The 16853-nt window shown below is 43.2% G+C and overlaps 2 annotated features.

Annotated features, from left to right (window-relative positions):
* Positions 4014-4519: a transcriptional cis regulatory region, noted in NCBI's record as "candidate enhancer chr9.1594 targeted for multiplex CRISPR interference". NCBI's record gives its function as "positively regulates ANP32B and HEMGN gene expression with high confidence in K562 cells {active_cell/tissue: K562}" and the evidence as "EXISTENCE:mutant phenotype evidence [ECO:0000015][PMID:30612741]".
* Positions 6091-6385: a silencer, noted in NCBI's record as "tiled region #4249; K562 Repressive DNase matched - State 5:Enh". NCBI's record gives its function as "represses a minimal TATA promoter and a strong SV40 promoter by Sharpr-MPRA in K562 cells {active_cell/tissue: K562}" and the evidence as "EXISTENCE:reporter gene assay evidence [ECO:0000049][PMID:27701403]".

Below are 16853 nucleotides of genomic sequence, written 5' to 3'. Positions count from 1 at the left end.
CAGCCTGTCACTGGCCTCAGGCTGTACCCTAGGAGAACATGAAATGGTTTCCTGAGGCTGAGAGCAGTAATATCCCCTGCAGCTGAAGGATGGGTGTATCTGCAGGGAAGAGGGGCACTGGGCAAGGCCCCACATAGCCACTGTAGGCATATGACTCAGTTTAGATTAACAGAGGTTCTCTAGGGGCTCCTGAGAGAGAGGCTTGTAGAAATGACCTTTGTCTATCTGGATATGGACAAGGACTTATGTAGCTCTGGGAATTGTTGGCAGCCATCTCACATCAAAGTCAGCTTTAATGACATTGGTGATCTGCTAAATCAAACCAAGCCTGGAGCCTGAATTACCCTGGACTTTTAGTGTGAACTTTTGTTGTTAGGTCAGTCTGTTGGTTGTGTTTTAGTTACTTACAAATGAATGTATTTTATTTCTTTGAGCAAGGATGGGTTAAAAAAAACAAAAACAAAATCAACAAAATCAACAAATGAATGGTTTTTTTTTTTTTTTGAGACGGAGTCTTGCTCTGTCACCCAGGCTGGAGTGCAGTGGCACGATCTCGGCTCACTGCAAGCTCTGCCTAATTTTTTGTATTTTTAGTAGAGACAGGGTTTCACTGTGTTAGCCAGGATGGTCTCGATCTCCTGACTTCATGATCCGCCCACCTCTGCCTCCCAAAGTGCTGGGATTACCGGTGTGAGCCACCATGCCTGGCCCTCTTCTGGGCAGGGTTTCTAAGGTGCTAGCTGAATAACTGTCTTAACTATCCTTTCTCTCCTTGATGAATGCCTTCTCTCTCTTGGCTTCTTTTCCTCCTCCCGATCCCTCCTCTTAAGCTTTAGGTTCCTGTTTCTTCTACAGGATTTCTTCTACAGGATTATTCTGGTACAGGCAAGCCCTATTTTCCCTGCCTTACCTTTAACTCGCACCAGGAGATCCCCAAGGTCCCTCTCAGCTCTAACACTATGAAGTCTGAAAAGTATGGAAACATCTTCCTAAATGTCACTTAAGTCATAAAGTCTCTTCCATTTACTTAATATTATTAGCCATTTTTTTCTATTGTTAGAGAAAACAGGCAGCAACCATGTGCAGCAACCATGTGCCAAGTTTGGTTTTGCTATCACATGGATTTTCTGTTTTAACATCACTTTACAACCTGAAAGTTTTTGTTTCCTGAGTTGAATCATCAATAAAATGTATATAAGGTTATATGGATTAAATGAGTTAATGTCTCTAAGGCCTCTAAAAAAGTACCTAACATATAGTTGTTAATGAGCACATTTGGAGTATGCGTGTGTTTGTGTATGTGTGTGCATTGTGCTTTAGGGATAAGAAAATACTGCTCTTACAAGTCACCTTTGGGGAGACAGACATTAACAAAAAGTGATATGTTCTAACTGTGATTCAATGTGATAAGGCCTTGTATCAGGACTATGTTAAAAGGAATAGAACCAAAGTACTGTAGAAATCCAGAGAGGCAGAAGGGACCAATTCTTGGGGTGCGTGGTGGCCCAGGAAGATTTTGCAGAGGGAGTGTCATTTTAGATGGGTTTCAAAGGCCAGGTAGTAGTAGCTTTCCAGGTTGACAGAAGATATTTCAGATACAGAAACTAGCAGAGACAGGGTTAAAAGAAGTAGATTTAAAATACCTAGTGTGTTGGGGAACTAGGGAAAATGTTTCATTACTTTAAGAATTGTAGCTACTGAAAGAATTGTGGTGAAGAGAACTTCCATGTGCTGGTTTCAAACAGCACATAACAAAGAGAACTTCCAAGATTAGAAGACCCTCAAGAAGCTTCTGTTCTGGATGGGAAGAAGCTCCCATGCACTACAATATGCGACCTTCACATTTTTTTTGTGTGTGTGTGGTAAAATTCATGTAACAGTCAGCATTTTAAAGTATATAATTCAATGGCATTTAGTACATTCACAGTGTCGTACAAATGCCACTGCTACCTAGTTCCAGAACATTTTCATCACAAAAGGAAACCCTGTACCCATTAAGCCATCACTCCCCATTCTGGCCTCCCCCAGTCCCTGGCAGCTACTATCTGCTTTCTATCTCTATGGGTTTACCTATTATGGACTTTTATTTTCTTTTCTTTTTTTGGGGGGGGGATAGGCTCTGGCTCTGTCACCCCGGCTTGAGTGCAGTGGAGGGCAGAGGTTGCTCACTGCAACCTCTGCCTTCTGGGCTCAAGTGATCTTCCCACCTCAACCTCCCAAGTAGCTGGGACCACAGGCATGCGCCACCATGCCTGGCTAATTTTTGTAGACATTTCATATAAATGTAATTATATAATATGTAGTCTTTCAATGCTGTGAACAAGTCACACAACATCTTAATATTATTGTGAAAATAATTTTGACCTAATGAACCTGCTGAAAGAGTATTAAGACCCCCAAGAGGTGTGCAGACCAGACTGAAAACCGCAGGTCTAGGTCATCAAGTAGTGTGGTTCCAGCTCCCCTTTCCAGTTTCTGTTCGGGCAAGGTGATTATCAGGCCCGTGTCCAGTCTGAGGGCTCCCCATCTCAGCTGCTCATCTGGGTGAAGACTCCATCAGCCATTTCCACAAAGCTGAGATTAACGCTACAACAATGGCTTCACATTTCAAACTGCTCAAAGGAACCAAACAACCAAATGGGGACACATTTTATTAGTAGTAAATCTGAAAGTGTTTTTTAAAAAAGACTCTGCCACAAACATTTCCTATAAAATGCTGATCACTATCTGCCACGATCATTACATTTTTATGGTTTCAATAATTCCCTTTTACCTGAGATGAGAGCCATCATGTACTTTTGAATATCAAGCAGCAGCCCATGCCATAAATTGCTAACCCCCTTCTCCTCTAATGATCACAGCTTATTTTATTCTTTAAGTATTCTTCTCAGAGTAATTAGCACGCTTATTATACAGCATATTCAAATGTTAATGTGCACACTGTACTGACGCTATTGTGAGACACGTTTTGCTCAGGAGCTAAAATTATGTTGCCATTCTGCTTGGTGCTAGGGGTTCTGTGCTTGAAACCTGTTTCCCACATGCAAGGAGCCAAGGTTATTTAATTGGAATGCTGAGCTAGAATGAGAAGAGTCTGACACTTAATATAGAACCTGTAAGCTAAACGGGGTCAGCAAGTACAGGGCCTACACACTTTGAATTAGCTATCCACCACTGGGGAGACAATCAATATTTGAGCAGACTGGCTTAGGGGCATGTTTGACATCGTTCCTCCAGGGTCTCCACTAAACTCTGCACTGCCTCAGCAGGTTGGACCACCAGAAGTCACAGTTCTGACAATTGGAAATATTTTCCTGAAACTGAGCTGAAATCTGCTCAAATTTTCACTCGTTTATTTTTGCCCTGCCTTCTGGAGTGCTCTGTAACTGCCCTTCGGAGACTGAAGACAGTGACCATCCCCATGGTCTGCTCTCCTAAAGCTCACTTGTCCCAAGTCCTTGTATGGCAGGCCACCAGTCCCTTCACCATCGTGGTCAGTCCCCTTAGTTGTTTGAGGTGATTTTTTTTTTTTTTAATTCTTGGGTTTTGTTTTTGTTTTTGTTTTAAAGAGAGGTGCTCAGAACCTGAAACAATGATCCAAGTGTGGTCTAATCCATGGGAAAGTGAGTAGGCCTATCACTCCTCTTGGATGCTATTCTATTGGTTCTTTTCAAGAGTTTATTATCTTGTTACCCACCACTGATTCATAATCAGCTAAAGCCACCAAGTCTTCTAAACCATATATGCTACCTTGGCATTTAGCCATTTAGACCCAAATACAGGATCGGAAATTAGTCATTGTTACATATAATCAGGTTAAATCTGTCCTAGTGTTTTGGCTTGTCAAGAAACTTTTTGTTTCTTGGATTCTGAATCCATCTTTTCCACCCACAAATGTAATCAATCTATTAATATTGGCCTTTTTATACGGCCAAAGTTCAATGTTTGAACTTTGTAAGAATCAAAGTTAAAAATGCCAGACAGCAAAGATCTCAGGAGATGGAGCCCTTCACCTACTACCAGATACCTCCTATCAAAGTATTTATGTAACCAGTTACTTACACACACACACACACACACACACACACAGACACACACTGCCCCAGTACATACACACGACCATCCCAACTGTTCCATTCTCTAACTCAAGTTGACAGGGAGGGAAAACATCAAAGAATATGCCAGGTTACTAACTGGCTGGTTTAAGTAGCCAGGAAAACAAGGGAGGAGTGAATAAGGCCTAACGAAGGACCAAAAGTGTAGGACCAGGATCCGGTGAGGCTACATTATCTAGGCCCACACACCAGCAAAGGTTGGGAGATAGCAAGGCTGAGTCACATGGAAGATAGTTCAGGGTTCTGCCATGATGACAGAGAGGAGATCAACAACCAGAAAACAGGCTGGGCGTGGTGGCTCACGCCTGTAATCCTGCACTTTGGGAGGCCGAGGTGGGCAGATCACTTGAGGTCAGGAGTTCAAGAACAGCCTGGCCAACATGGTGAAACCCTGTCTCCACTAAAAATACAAAAAATTAGCCAGGCATGGTGGCGCATGCCTGTGGTCCCAGCTACTCAGGAGGCTAACGCAGGAGAATCACTTTAACCTGGCAGGCAGAGGTTGCAGTGAGCCGAGATCGCTCCATGGCACTCCAGCCTCCCGAGGCTCCTCTGTCGCTCTGGCTGACAGAGCGAGACGCTGTCTCAAAAAATAAAAAATAAAAAAAAACCCAGGAAACAGAGCTGGTGTTGGAAGCTGGAAGGTAGCCAATGAGCATGTCAAACTGGAGGGACTGGGCAGAAGGGAACAGGGACAGGCAAAGCTCCCAAGGGGAATGAAGCAAGGAAGGACCATGTGAAACAGAATCTAGAGATGCTAAGTGGACTCCAGAGCTGTGCTGTCCAATATGGTAGCCACTAGCTGCAATATGGCTATTTACATTTAAATTAAAGCAAAATAAAAATTAAAAAATTCAGTCCCTTAGTTGCATTAGCCACATTTCAAGTGCTTTAATAGTCATGTGTGACTAGTGGCTACCATATGGGATAATACAGAAGACAATTTCTATCACTGCAGAACATTCTGTTGCATTCTAGGTGTACTTCTAGAAAAGGGCTACACCAGGGAGGATACTATTTTAGTGTGCTTATTTTTCCTTTGCTTTCCTTCAAGACCCAGCTCAAATACCAATTCTTCTGGGAATCTGTCCCTATGCTTGTTGTGTAACTGTATGCTACAGGCAGCAGGGCATTCCGACTGATACAGTTCTTAGTGGTAATGCATGGGTGTAGATAGGACTTAATATGGAGATCTCAGCACAGCTGTTTCTTAATTCTTAACCTTCCTCTATCTTGGGAAGGCTTCTTCCTTGACAAAGTAATTTGTTTTGAGGCTAAGACATGAGGTGGGGGCAGGAGGGGAGGAAGAAGGGCACACTGGCCTAGCCAGCCAGATCTGCTGAATCCAACTCTGTAGCTGTAAAAAAAAATTGTAAAACTGTAACAAAAAGCTTTTTCATCTATTGTCCACAAACATTACATAGGCCATCTTGGCCAGGCTGTCCAGAAGGTGAAATCAAGGTCTGATTTGCTTGATGCAAGATATCTTGTCATCTTACCTATGGGCCTTCACTAAGTTTTCAGTCTGCCTTCTTTCTCTTTTAATTTCCTGTCCCAGAAGCTCTTAGAATTTCTAATAAGATCAATCAATTCTACCTTCTAAATCTCTCTAGAATCTGTCCCTCACTTCAATACCCCAGTTCATTTCTCACCTCTTCCCACCCAGCCCTCATACTGCCACAGCTCTAAGATTCTTACTTGCCCATCACATTCTTCTCCCTAAAACCCTTCCGTGGCTCCCATGACATATAAAGGCCAGGCCCTTTGGACTCCAGCTACCTCTCCTGTTTCAGTTCTTCCACTCCCTGATGTGTAACAGACACTCCAACCTTACTGTTACTGTGCCCAGAGCCAAGATGCCCTTTCACATCTCTGTGCCTTTGTACTTGCAGCTCCCTCTGTCTGAAATGCCCGTTAAAGTCCGGTTTAAATCTCATCTCTTCTGAGAAGCCTCCCCTGAGCCTGAGTCCTCAGATAGATTTTAGTGACCCATCAGCTATGCCCACACACTGCAGGCTCTGATCATAACACATCCTGTGTATAACACTCATGAGTCTGTTTCTCCCACTAAACTGTGAGGTCTCAGGGGCAGGCAGCACATCTGACTCAGCTCTTATCCCCAGTGGTTAGCACAGGACCTAAGTCATAATAAACACTTACTAAATGCCTATTAGGATAAACAACAAGTGTGCCTTTATGAGGTTCTCCTGTGCCTGAGAACGAAAACTATGAGAATCCTCTGTGTGGCTGCCTGTTGCCATGCTCCTTAGGGCTCACCCATGCCACTGGAGGCCTAGTGAGCAAGTGGCCTCGGTAGTTGAAGATGTGGGGAAAAGCAAGAGGCCTGCAGCTGTTCCTGCTGAAAGCCTCACTATCTGCTGGCTGTTACCCCAGCAGACCGTGTGGCCACACAAGCCCATTCCTTGTTTTTCGTGAAAAAACACAGGACCCCTTGAAGAACGCTCTTATAGTGACCCATCTGTGGCTAACTCTGGGGAAGAATTATTGGCAAAGGGGAGGAACCTCTTAGTAGAATGGAGAGACATGAGGCCGGGCATAGTGGCTCATGCCTGTAATCCCAGCACTTTGGGAGGCCGAGGTGAGAGGATCACTTGAGCCCAGGAGCTTGAGACCAGCCTGGGCAACAACATGAGACCCCGTTTCTATAAAAAAATAAAAAAAATTAGCTGGGCATGGTGGTGCGTGCCTATAGTCCCAGCTACTCTGGAGGCTGAGGTGGGAGGATCACTTGAGCCCAGGAGTTTGGGGCTATAATGAGCTATGATCGTCACTGCTCCAGCCTGGGCAATAGAATGAGACCCTGTCTCAAAAAAACAAAGAGAGGCATGAACCATTGCTACTCTTACATAGCACATGGGATGTCCCTGGTTATGGAATGTAGGAGCTAAGAGTAACACTTTTATACAGTATTTAATTTTTTTTGTTTTGTTTTGAGACGGAGTCTCACTCTTTCACCCAGGCCGGACTGCGGTGGCGCTATCTTGGCTCACTGCAAGCTCCGTATCCCGGGTTCACGCCATTCTCCTGCCTCAGCCTCCCGAGTAGCTGGGACTACAGGCGCCCACCACCGCGCCCGGCTTATTTTTTGTATTTTTAGTAGAGACGGGGTTTCACCGTGTTAGCCAGGATGGTCTCGCTCTCCTGACCTCGTGATCCGCCCGCCTTGGCCTCCCAAGGTGCTGGAATTACAGGCGTGAGCCACCGTGCCCGGCCTTAATTTTAATTTTATTTATTTTTTGAGACAGGGTTTCACTTCCGTCTTCCTAACTGGAGTGCAGTGGCGTGATCTCCGCTACTGCAACGTCCGCCTCCAGGGCTCAAGCGATCCTCCGGCCTCAACCCCCTGAGCAGCTGGTGTCACAGGCACGGGCCACCATGCTCGGCTTATTTTTTATTTTATTTTTCTTTGGAGAGATGGGGTTTTGCCATGTTGCCCAGGCTGGTCTTGACTCCTGAACTCAAGTGATCCACCCACCTCAGCCTCCCAAAGTGCTGAGATTACAGGCATGTGCCACCACACCCGGCCTTATACAGTATTTTAAAATGTCCACCATACCTTAATGGTTACCAAGAGACTTCCACTAATATGATCTTTTTTCTTTTTTGAGACAGGGTCTCACTTTGTCATCCAGGCTGGAGTGCAATGGTGTGATCACGGCTCACTGCAGCCTCAACCTCCCAGGCTCAAGGGATCCTCCCACCTCAGCCTCCTGAGTAGCTGAGATTAGAGGCCGGCACCACCAGCCCTGGCTTTTTTTTTCTTTTTTTTTTTTTTTTGTAGAGACAGGATCTCATGATATTGCTCAGGTTGAATATTACCTTCTTTAGCCCATTATTTACCCTGAGTGGCAGGCAGGCAAGGCAGGGCTGGAGTTGTTATTTATACATAAAGAAACTAATGTCCAGAGAGGTGAAATGACTGGCCCAAGGTCACATACATTGTAAGCAAAGGATCATAAAGGTGAAGTCCCATTCTTACGGCTATGAAGTAATAATCAGAACTGCAACACATGGGAGTTATTTTTTAAATATTTGCTGGGGTTTCGTGTTAATAGAATGCTTAAAATCAGAAACATTTTCTAGCAAATTGAGTCTATAGAAGGCTTTCAGGCATCTCTTGGGAAGTTTGGCTAAATGAAATTACAGATTTCTTCCAGGCAGGACATTCTATGAAATTTAGTGTTTACTGTGTCCCAGGTTCATGTAACTCCTGAAATGATCAGCTAAGTAATTTCCAAAACAAATAGCTCTCCTGCCCAGCCCAGCATCCCTGTCTGGCTTATCAAAGAGTCTCAAGCTCATTATTTACTTATTCTATCACCTACTTCTCACTCTAGTTTTTCTACTCCTTCACTTCCTACAACATGGCACTCCTATTACTTGATCAATTGTTCATTTCCTCTATCAGAGATAACCATGATTTAAAGCTAGAGGAATAATTTCTATATAAGACTAGAAAGCAGAAATGTCATCATGCATTATTCAGTTCTTAATTTAATTCCCATTAAGGGGGAATTAAATTGACTGGATTAGTGAAGGTTCACTTGATTCATTTCTTCTGAGAGATGACTAAATTCATTTGGGTGCCATATTTGGTAGTGGGTGTGCTAAGGGAGTTTTTGATAGGTCAGTGTAGGTGGATGATTTTCTAGGAAGGACAATCTGCCTTGGTTGGATGGAGAGGTTGTTTAAGCTCTGCCTGACAGGATTCTCCCCAGCCTCCCTGCATAAGAACAAAGTATTGTACATCTACTTGAACTGGGCAAAATCAGAGTTAATAGCAGCTTGATGGAAATAGATACCCCACTTTCTTCTGTTTGCAGTCCAGGTTCTAACCACTGCACCACATACTTTTCAGGGTGACAATTGCTCCTATTAGTTAGTGTTTCTGACACAGACGTGAAATGCAGTCTCCAATTTTAATGATATTCTATTTTTGTTGTCTAATAGGCTGCTATAAAAGTGATATCCTATTTTTGTTTTCATCAGGAAGTCCCAGGCCCTTCAGATAGAACTATGGGTAATTTTTTTTTTTTTTTTTTTTTGAGACGGAGTCTTGCTCTGTCACCCAGGCTGGTGTGCAGTGGCACGATCTTGGCTCACTGCAACCTCTGCCTCCCAGGTTCAAGCGGTTCTCCTGCCTCAGCCTCCTGAGTAGCTAGGATAACAGGGACCCGCCACCATGCCTGGCTAATTTTTTTTTTTTTTTTTTTTTGGATTTTTAGTAGAGACGGGGTTTCACCATATTGGTCAGGCTGGTCTTGAACTCCTGACCTTGTGATCCGCCCGCCTTGGCCTCCCAAAGTGCTGGGATTATAGGCGTGAACCTGGCTTAATTCTTAAGCCAGGCGTGGTGGCTCACACCTGTAATCCCAGCACTTTGGGAGGCCAAGGCGGGCGGATCACCTGAGGTCAGGAGTTCGAGACCAGCCTGGCCAACATGGCAAAACCGTCTCCACTAAAAATACAAAAATTAGCTAGGTGTGATGGCTTGCGCCTGTAATCCCAGCTACTCAGGAGGCTGAGGCGAGAGAATTGCTTGTGCCCAGGAGGTGGAGGTTGCAGTGAGCCAAGAGATCTCGCCACTGCACTTCATCCTGGGTGGCAGAACGAGACTCTGTTTAAAACAAAACAAAATAAAACAAAAAAAAAATACAAAAAACAAGAACTGTGGGTAATTCTTGATGTTCCTAGCAGTCTTTGAGGATGGAGATTCTGTCTGAGTTTGTTTTAATTTTTCTCTTGATCACAAGAACATTCTGATATTTAAACATATGAATAAGATGTACTTCTTGCTGATGGTGGGGGGACCCTCATTACAAAGTTCTAGACCAGACCTTCTTTACTTCCAGTGGTGCATCAGACTTTGCTATGTGACTCCCACACAGGTGTCTACCATGGTTGAGCAAGGCTGGCCTCTTTAGAAAGAGATGAGAGCACTAACAATAAAGGGTAATGATACAGAACATGAAGAAGCACAAAATGTTCTTCATCCTCTTGTTGGCTTTGCCCAGGATACAAGCTGATAAAATCAGATCAGATCAGATCCTGAACGCTGTGTGTTAAAGGTATTCACAGATGCTTAGGAGAATGCCAGGCAAGAAAGACCTGGCAATACATTTCCTGCATGCTAAAGTAACTCCTCCTTTTCCCTCTCCAACCTGGCTAAAAATATAACCTAAGTGTCACTAAATTCTAACAAAATACAAAAAAGCCTAACATTTGTTGAGCAGGTTGTGACAGAATATCAGTTAGCTAAGTGCTAGGTATGCAAACATCCCCAGTGCTAACTTACCCAGAGGAGGACTTGGAGGAAGGGGGAACAGAGGGTGTCAGAGAATTAACAGAGAAAGGCCAACTGCCTCTAAGGGAAAGTGCTGGAGCCAGGGCTCATGACCTAGTTGACAGGTCAGAATGGTGCAATTGCCATTTATGTCCACCTAGTGGCAGCAGTTCTAGCCAGAAGCACCTGTACCTCAATTGGTTCACAGGCCCACTGGCAGCCACCTGGAATGGAACCATTTGGAAGGTTGCATTTGGAAGCAGTGGTCCCTTTTGGGCAGGAACTGATCTAGGTTATCCCAACTCTAAACCCCAAGTCCATGTGATAGAATCTGCTAGAAACAGGGTGCTGAAGTTTCCAAACAAATGCACTTTATCATATTAGGTTCTAGTACATGTTTTATGCCAGGGATCTAAAACTCCAAGGAGTAGAGAAGTTAGCTAAAAGAGGTGAGACTAGTATTCAACTAAGGACCAGTGATAGCTGATACGAATAACAGTGGGTCGGTGGCAGGCCAGGGAGTGAGTTGGGTCTTATGTTCTGTGCCTTCTGAATATAAACCAGCCACTGAAAAGGGCAGTTTTGTTTTAGGATAGATTTGTACATGATCTAGAATTTCTGTGAAAGGAAAATAATTCACTCTATAGGCCAGCATTTCCTAAGAAGTAGTATGCATGCCACTCAGGGCAGCGCAGATAATTTTTGATGAAACGCCTTTTATTTTAATATTTCAGTATTTATTTTAAGATGTCTTTGAAGAACTATATTATACCACAAACCTATGATTTCACAGGTGATATTTTTGGTTTTCCATTTACGATAATGATATGAAATTTTCACTGTATTTGCTTATTTATTTATTTATTTATTTTTGAGAGAGGGTCTTATTCTGCTACCTAGGCTGGAGTACAGTAGTGTGATCATGGCTCACTGCAGCCTTGAACTCCTGGGCTCAAGCAATCTTCCCACCTTAGCCTCCCAAGTAGCTGGGAACACAGGTACACACCATCATGCTTGGCTAATTTAAAAAAAAATTTTTTTTGGTAGAGATGAGGTTTCTCTGTTGCCCCAGCTAAAGTTTAATTTAAAGTACTTTTAGTAAAAATGAGTTTATTTGAAAAAAAAAAAAAAACTAAGTAAATAATAGCATAAAAGCACGTCAATACAAGAACATGGTAAAAATCACAAAGGTAGAGTACAAACAATTGGAAAGTTTGAGAACTTCTTTGTTATCCTGGGGGATGAGGTGGATTGACTTGTAAACAAAGGAGTTTGGAATGTCAGATAGGCGAAGAAAAAAGTAGACTGTCAGAAGATCTGGATTCCAGTTCCAACTGCCACTCAGCCTGTGTGACACTGGCTTCTCTCTGGGTCTCCATTTCCTTATCTACATAATAACTCTTAATGCTCTGCTTAGCTTTATTATTTGGTGGTTCTATTTCACTTTTTATTAATGAGATTATAAACAATCATGATAACAGCCAGCACATACGGTCTGCTTTGTGGCAGGCACTGTGCAGGATGCTTTCCGTAAGTCATCATTCTTATTCTCACAACAGCCTTAAAAGGTAGATATTATTATTATTATTTTGAGACAAGGTCTCGCTCTGTCACCCAGGCTGGAGTGCAGTGGCACGATCTTGGCTCACTGCAATCTCCACCTCCTGAGTTCAACTGATTCTCCCACCTCAACCTCCCAAGTAGCTGGTACTACAGGCATGCACCACCATGCTCAGCTAATTTTTGTATTTTTGGTAGAGACAGGGTTTCACTATGTTGGTCAGGCTGGTCTTGAACTCTTGACCTCAGGTGATCGGCCCACCTCGGCCTCTCAAAGTGCTGGGATTACAGGCGTGAGCCACTGCACCTGGCCAAAAGGTAGGTATTATAATGCCTATTCTACATACGCAGAGAGTTGAGCCTGGAAGATTTTAAGTAACTTGCCCAAGGTCACACACAACTTGATTTGAATGAACTTGGATCTGATTCCAGAGCCTGTGTTTTTTCCCCTAAGCCTTGCTGTATCCTAGTAGTTGATTCCTATTCACCCTTCAAAACTAAGCTCAAGATCATCTCTTCCAGGAGGGCTTCTTTGACCTCCTCTCTCCATCCTGTTTAGACATCTCTCTCCTCAGTGTTCCCTTAATTTTCTAAGTATGTCTTTTGCTGTTGTTGTTGTTATATTTGCCTTTGCGTCCCCAACACCCTGCATAGAATAGGTAGTCAACAAATCATTATGGAAACAGAGGGAGTGTGAAGGAGGGGGAGAAAGGGGAGAAAGGAGAGGGAAAGAATTACAAAAGAAAATATATTGCTACCTTATTTTATTAAATACTAAGGAAGTAGAATTGAGAGATAGGAGAGGAAGGTGGTTAAGCATATGGCCTCTAGATTCAAGCCACCTACCTTTGCTACTTACTAGGAGAGTGTCTTAGAGCACAGATTTAAAGCCTGTGCTTCAGTTGCTTCTTCTATAAAATAGAGGTATCAATAGCACCTACCTTAAAGACTGTTGTAAAGACTAATGAGTTACTATACGTAAAGTGCTTAGAGCAGTGCTTGAGATGTGATAAGCAAGTACTTTAAATATTGGCTATTATTATTTCTGTGAAATAAATAAAAGTGAATGTAACACTATTATATACATATAATGCCTCTTCATTTCCCAACTGATTGACTGATGGCAGGGTCTTTCCAAGGCAGTATGAATAAAGACAATTATACCCATAGGATGAACAATGTAATAGCCTTGTCTTTCCAATCCCATGGTAGCAGCATTAAGCACCCCATCTCTATGCTCAGAACATTTAGAAATATTGATATTAAAATTATCACACTGGGCTGAGTGCAGTGGCTCACACCTGTAATCCCAACATTTTGGAAAACTGAGGCAAGAGGATGGCTTGAGGCCAGGAGTTTGAGACCAGCCTGGGCAACATAGTGAGATGCTATCTCTACAAAAAAATGTTTTAAAAATTAGCTGGGCATGGTGGCATGTGCCTGTAGTCCTAGCTGTTCAGGATGCTGGGGCGGGAGGATCGTTTGAGCCCAGAAGTTAGAGGCTGCAGTGAGCTATGATTGCACCACTGCACTTCAGCCTGTGTGATAGAGCAAGACCTTGTCTCTTAAATAAGTAAATAAAGAAAGAACATTATCACACTGTATTATATTCTAAATCCAGGTTTACTTGCTGTCTACCACCCTCAATTAGGCTGTGAGTTCCTTGAAGGAAAAGACTCTCATTTGATTTCTCTCTCTGTCTCCAATTCTTAGCAAAGGGGTTAGTAAGAAATAAATGCTTAATAAATGTTTGCTGAGTGAATATAATAGAAAAGATGTGTACACATAAGCAATAAAATAAAAAATATTAGAGGTCCATTCCAAGATGGCCTAATAAGAACAGCTCTGGTCTGCAGCTCCCAGTGTGATTGATGCAGAAGATGGGTGATTTCGGCATTTCCAACTGAGGTACCTGGTTCATCTCACTGGGACTGGTTGGACAGTGGGTGCAGCCCACGGAGGGCAAGCCAAAGCAGGGATGGGTGTCGCCTCACCTGGGAAGTGCAAGGGACTAGGGGATTTCCCTTTCCTAGCCAAGGGAAGCCGTGACAGACTGTACCTGAAAAACAGTACACTCCTGCTCAAATACTGCACTTTTCCAACAGTCTTAGCAAACAGCACATCAGGAGATTATATCCTGTGCCTGGCTCGGCAGGTCCCACACCCATGGGGCCTTGCTCACTGCTAGTGCAGCAGTCTGAGATCAACCTGCGAGGCAGCAGCCCGGCATGGGGAGGGGCATCCGCCATTGCTGAGGCTTGAGTAGGTAAATAAAGCATCCAGGAAGCTTGAACTGGGCGGAGCCCACCAGTTCACTGCTGCAAGGCTTGCTGCCTCTATAGACTCCACCTCTGGGGGCAGGGCATAGCTGAACAAAAGGCAGCAGAAACCTCTGTAGACTAAATGTCCCTGTCTGACAGCTCTGAAGAGAGCAGTGGTTCTCCCAGCATGGTGTTTGAGCTCTGAGAATGGACAGACTGCCCCCTCAAGTGGGTTCTTGACCCCTGTGTAGCCTAACTGGGAAAAACCTCCCAGTAGGGGCCGACTGACACCTCATACAGGCGGGTGCCCCTCTGGGACAAAGCTTCCAGAGGAAGGATCAGGCAGCAATATTTGCTGTTCTGCAATATTTGCTGTTCTTCAGCCTCCCTGCTGGTGATACCCAGGCAAATGGTCTGGAGTGGACCTCCAGCAAACTCCAACAGACCTGCAGCTGAGGGACCTGACTGTTAGAAGGAAAACTAACAAACATAAAGGAATAGCATCAACATCAACATAAAGGACATCCACACCAAAACCCCATCTGTAGGTCACCAACATCAAAGACCAAAGGTAGATAAAACCACAAAGATGGGAAGAAACCAGAGCAGAAAAGCTGAAAATTCTAAAAACCAGAGCATCTCTTCTCCTCCAAAGGATCGCAGCTCCTCGCCAGCAACAGAACAAAGCTGGACAGAGAATGACTTTGATGAGTTAACAGAAGTAGGCTTCAGAAGGTCGGTAATAACAAACTTCTCCGAGCTAAAGGAGGATGTTTGAACCCATCTCAAGGAAGCTAAAAACCTTGAAAAAAGATTAGACAAATGGCTAACTAGAATAAACAGTGTAGAGAAGACCTTAAATGACCTGATGGAACTGAAAACCATGGCATGAGAACTACGTGATGCATGCACAAGCTTCAATAGCCAATTTGATCAAGTGGAAGAAAGGGTATCAGTGATTGAAGATCAAATTAATGAAATAAATTGAGAAGTTTAGAGAAAAAAGAGTAAAAATAAATGAACAAAGCCTCCAAGAAATATGGGACTATGTGAAAAGACCAAATCTACGTTTGATCAGCATACCTGAAAGTGACGGGAAGAATGAAACCAAGTTGGAGAATACTCTTCAGGATATTATCCAGGAGGACTTCCCCAACCTAGCAAGGCAGGCCAACATTCAAATTCAGGAAATACAGAGAACACCACAAAGATACTCCCTGAGAAGAGCAACCCCAAGATACATAATTGTCAGATTCACCAAGGTTGAAATGAAGGAAAAAATGTAAGGGCAGCCAGAGAGAAAGGTCGGGTTATCCACAAAGGAAAGTCCATCAGACTAACAGCGGATCTCTCAGCAGAAACTCTACAAGCCAGAAGAGAGTGGGGGCCAATATTCAACATTCTTAAAGAAAAGAATTTTCAACCCAGAATTTCATATCCAGCCAAACTAAGCTTCATAAGTGAAGGAGAAATAAAATCTTTTACAGACAAGCAAATGCTGAGAGATTTTGTCACCACCAGTCCTACCTTACAAGAGCTCCTGAAGGAAGCACTAAACATGGAAAGGAACAACCAGTACCAGCCACTGCAAAAACATGCCAAATTGGAAAGACCATCAATGCTATGAAGAAACTGCATCAATTAACGGGCAAAATAACCAGCTAACATCATAATGACAGGATCAAATTCACACATAACAATATTAACCTTAAATGTAAATGGGCTAAATGCCCCAATTAAAAGACACAGACTGGAAAATTGGATAAAGAGTCAAGACCCATCAGTGTGCTGTATTCAGGATACTCATCGCATGTGCAAAGACACACATAGTCTCAAATTAAAGGGATGGAGGAAGATCTACCAAGCAAATGCAAAAAAAAAAAAAAAAAAAAAAGCAGGGGTTGCAATCCTAGTCTCTGATAAAACAGACTTTAAACCAACAAAGATCAAAAGAGACAAAGAAGGCCACTACATAATGGTAAAGAGATCAATTCAACAAGAAGAGCTAACTATCCTAAATATATATGCATCCAATACAGGAGCACCCAGATTCGTAAAGCAAGTCCTTAGAGACCTACGAAGGGACTTAGACTCCCACACAATAATAATGGGAGACTTTAACACCCCACTGTCAATATTAAACAGATCAACAAGACAGAAGGTTAACAAGGATATCCAGGACTTGAACTCAGCTCTGCACCAAGCAGACCTAATAGACATCTACAGAACTCTCCACCCCAAATCAACAGAATATACATTCTTCTCAGCACCACATCACACTTATTCCAAAATTGACCACATATTTGGAAGTAAAGCACTCCTCAGCAAATGTAAAAGAACAGAAATCACAGCAAACTGTCTCTCAGACCACAGTGCAATCAAATTAGAACTCAGGATTAAGAAACTCACTCAAAACCGCACAACTACGTGGAAACTGAACAACTTGCTCCTGAACGACTATTGGGTAAATAATGAAATGAATGCAGAAATAAAGATGTTCTTTGAAACCAATGAGAACAAAGATACAACATACCAGAATCTCTGGGACACATTTAAAGCAGTGTGTAGAGGGAAATTTATAGCACTAAATGCCCGCAAGAGAAAGCAGGAAAG

The sequence above is a fragment of the Homo sapiens genome, chromosome 9 (genome assembly GCF_000001405.40).
Source record: "Homo sapiens chromosome 9, GRCh38.p14 Primary Assembly".
Taxonomy (NCBI): domain Eukaryota; kingdom Metazoa; phylum Chordata; class Mammalia; order Primates; family Hominidae; genus Homo; species Homo sapiens.
Note: the sequence above shows the minus strand (reverse complement) of the source record. Positions and strands in the feature narration are given on the sequence as shown.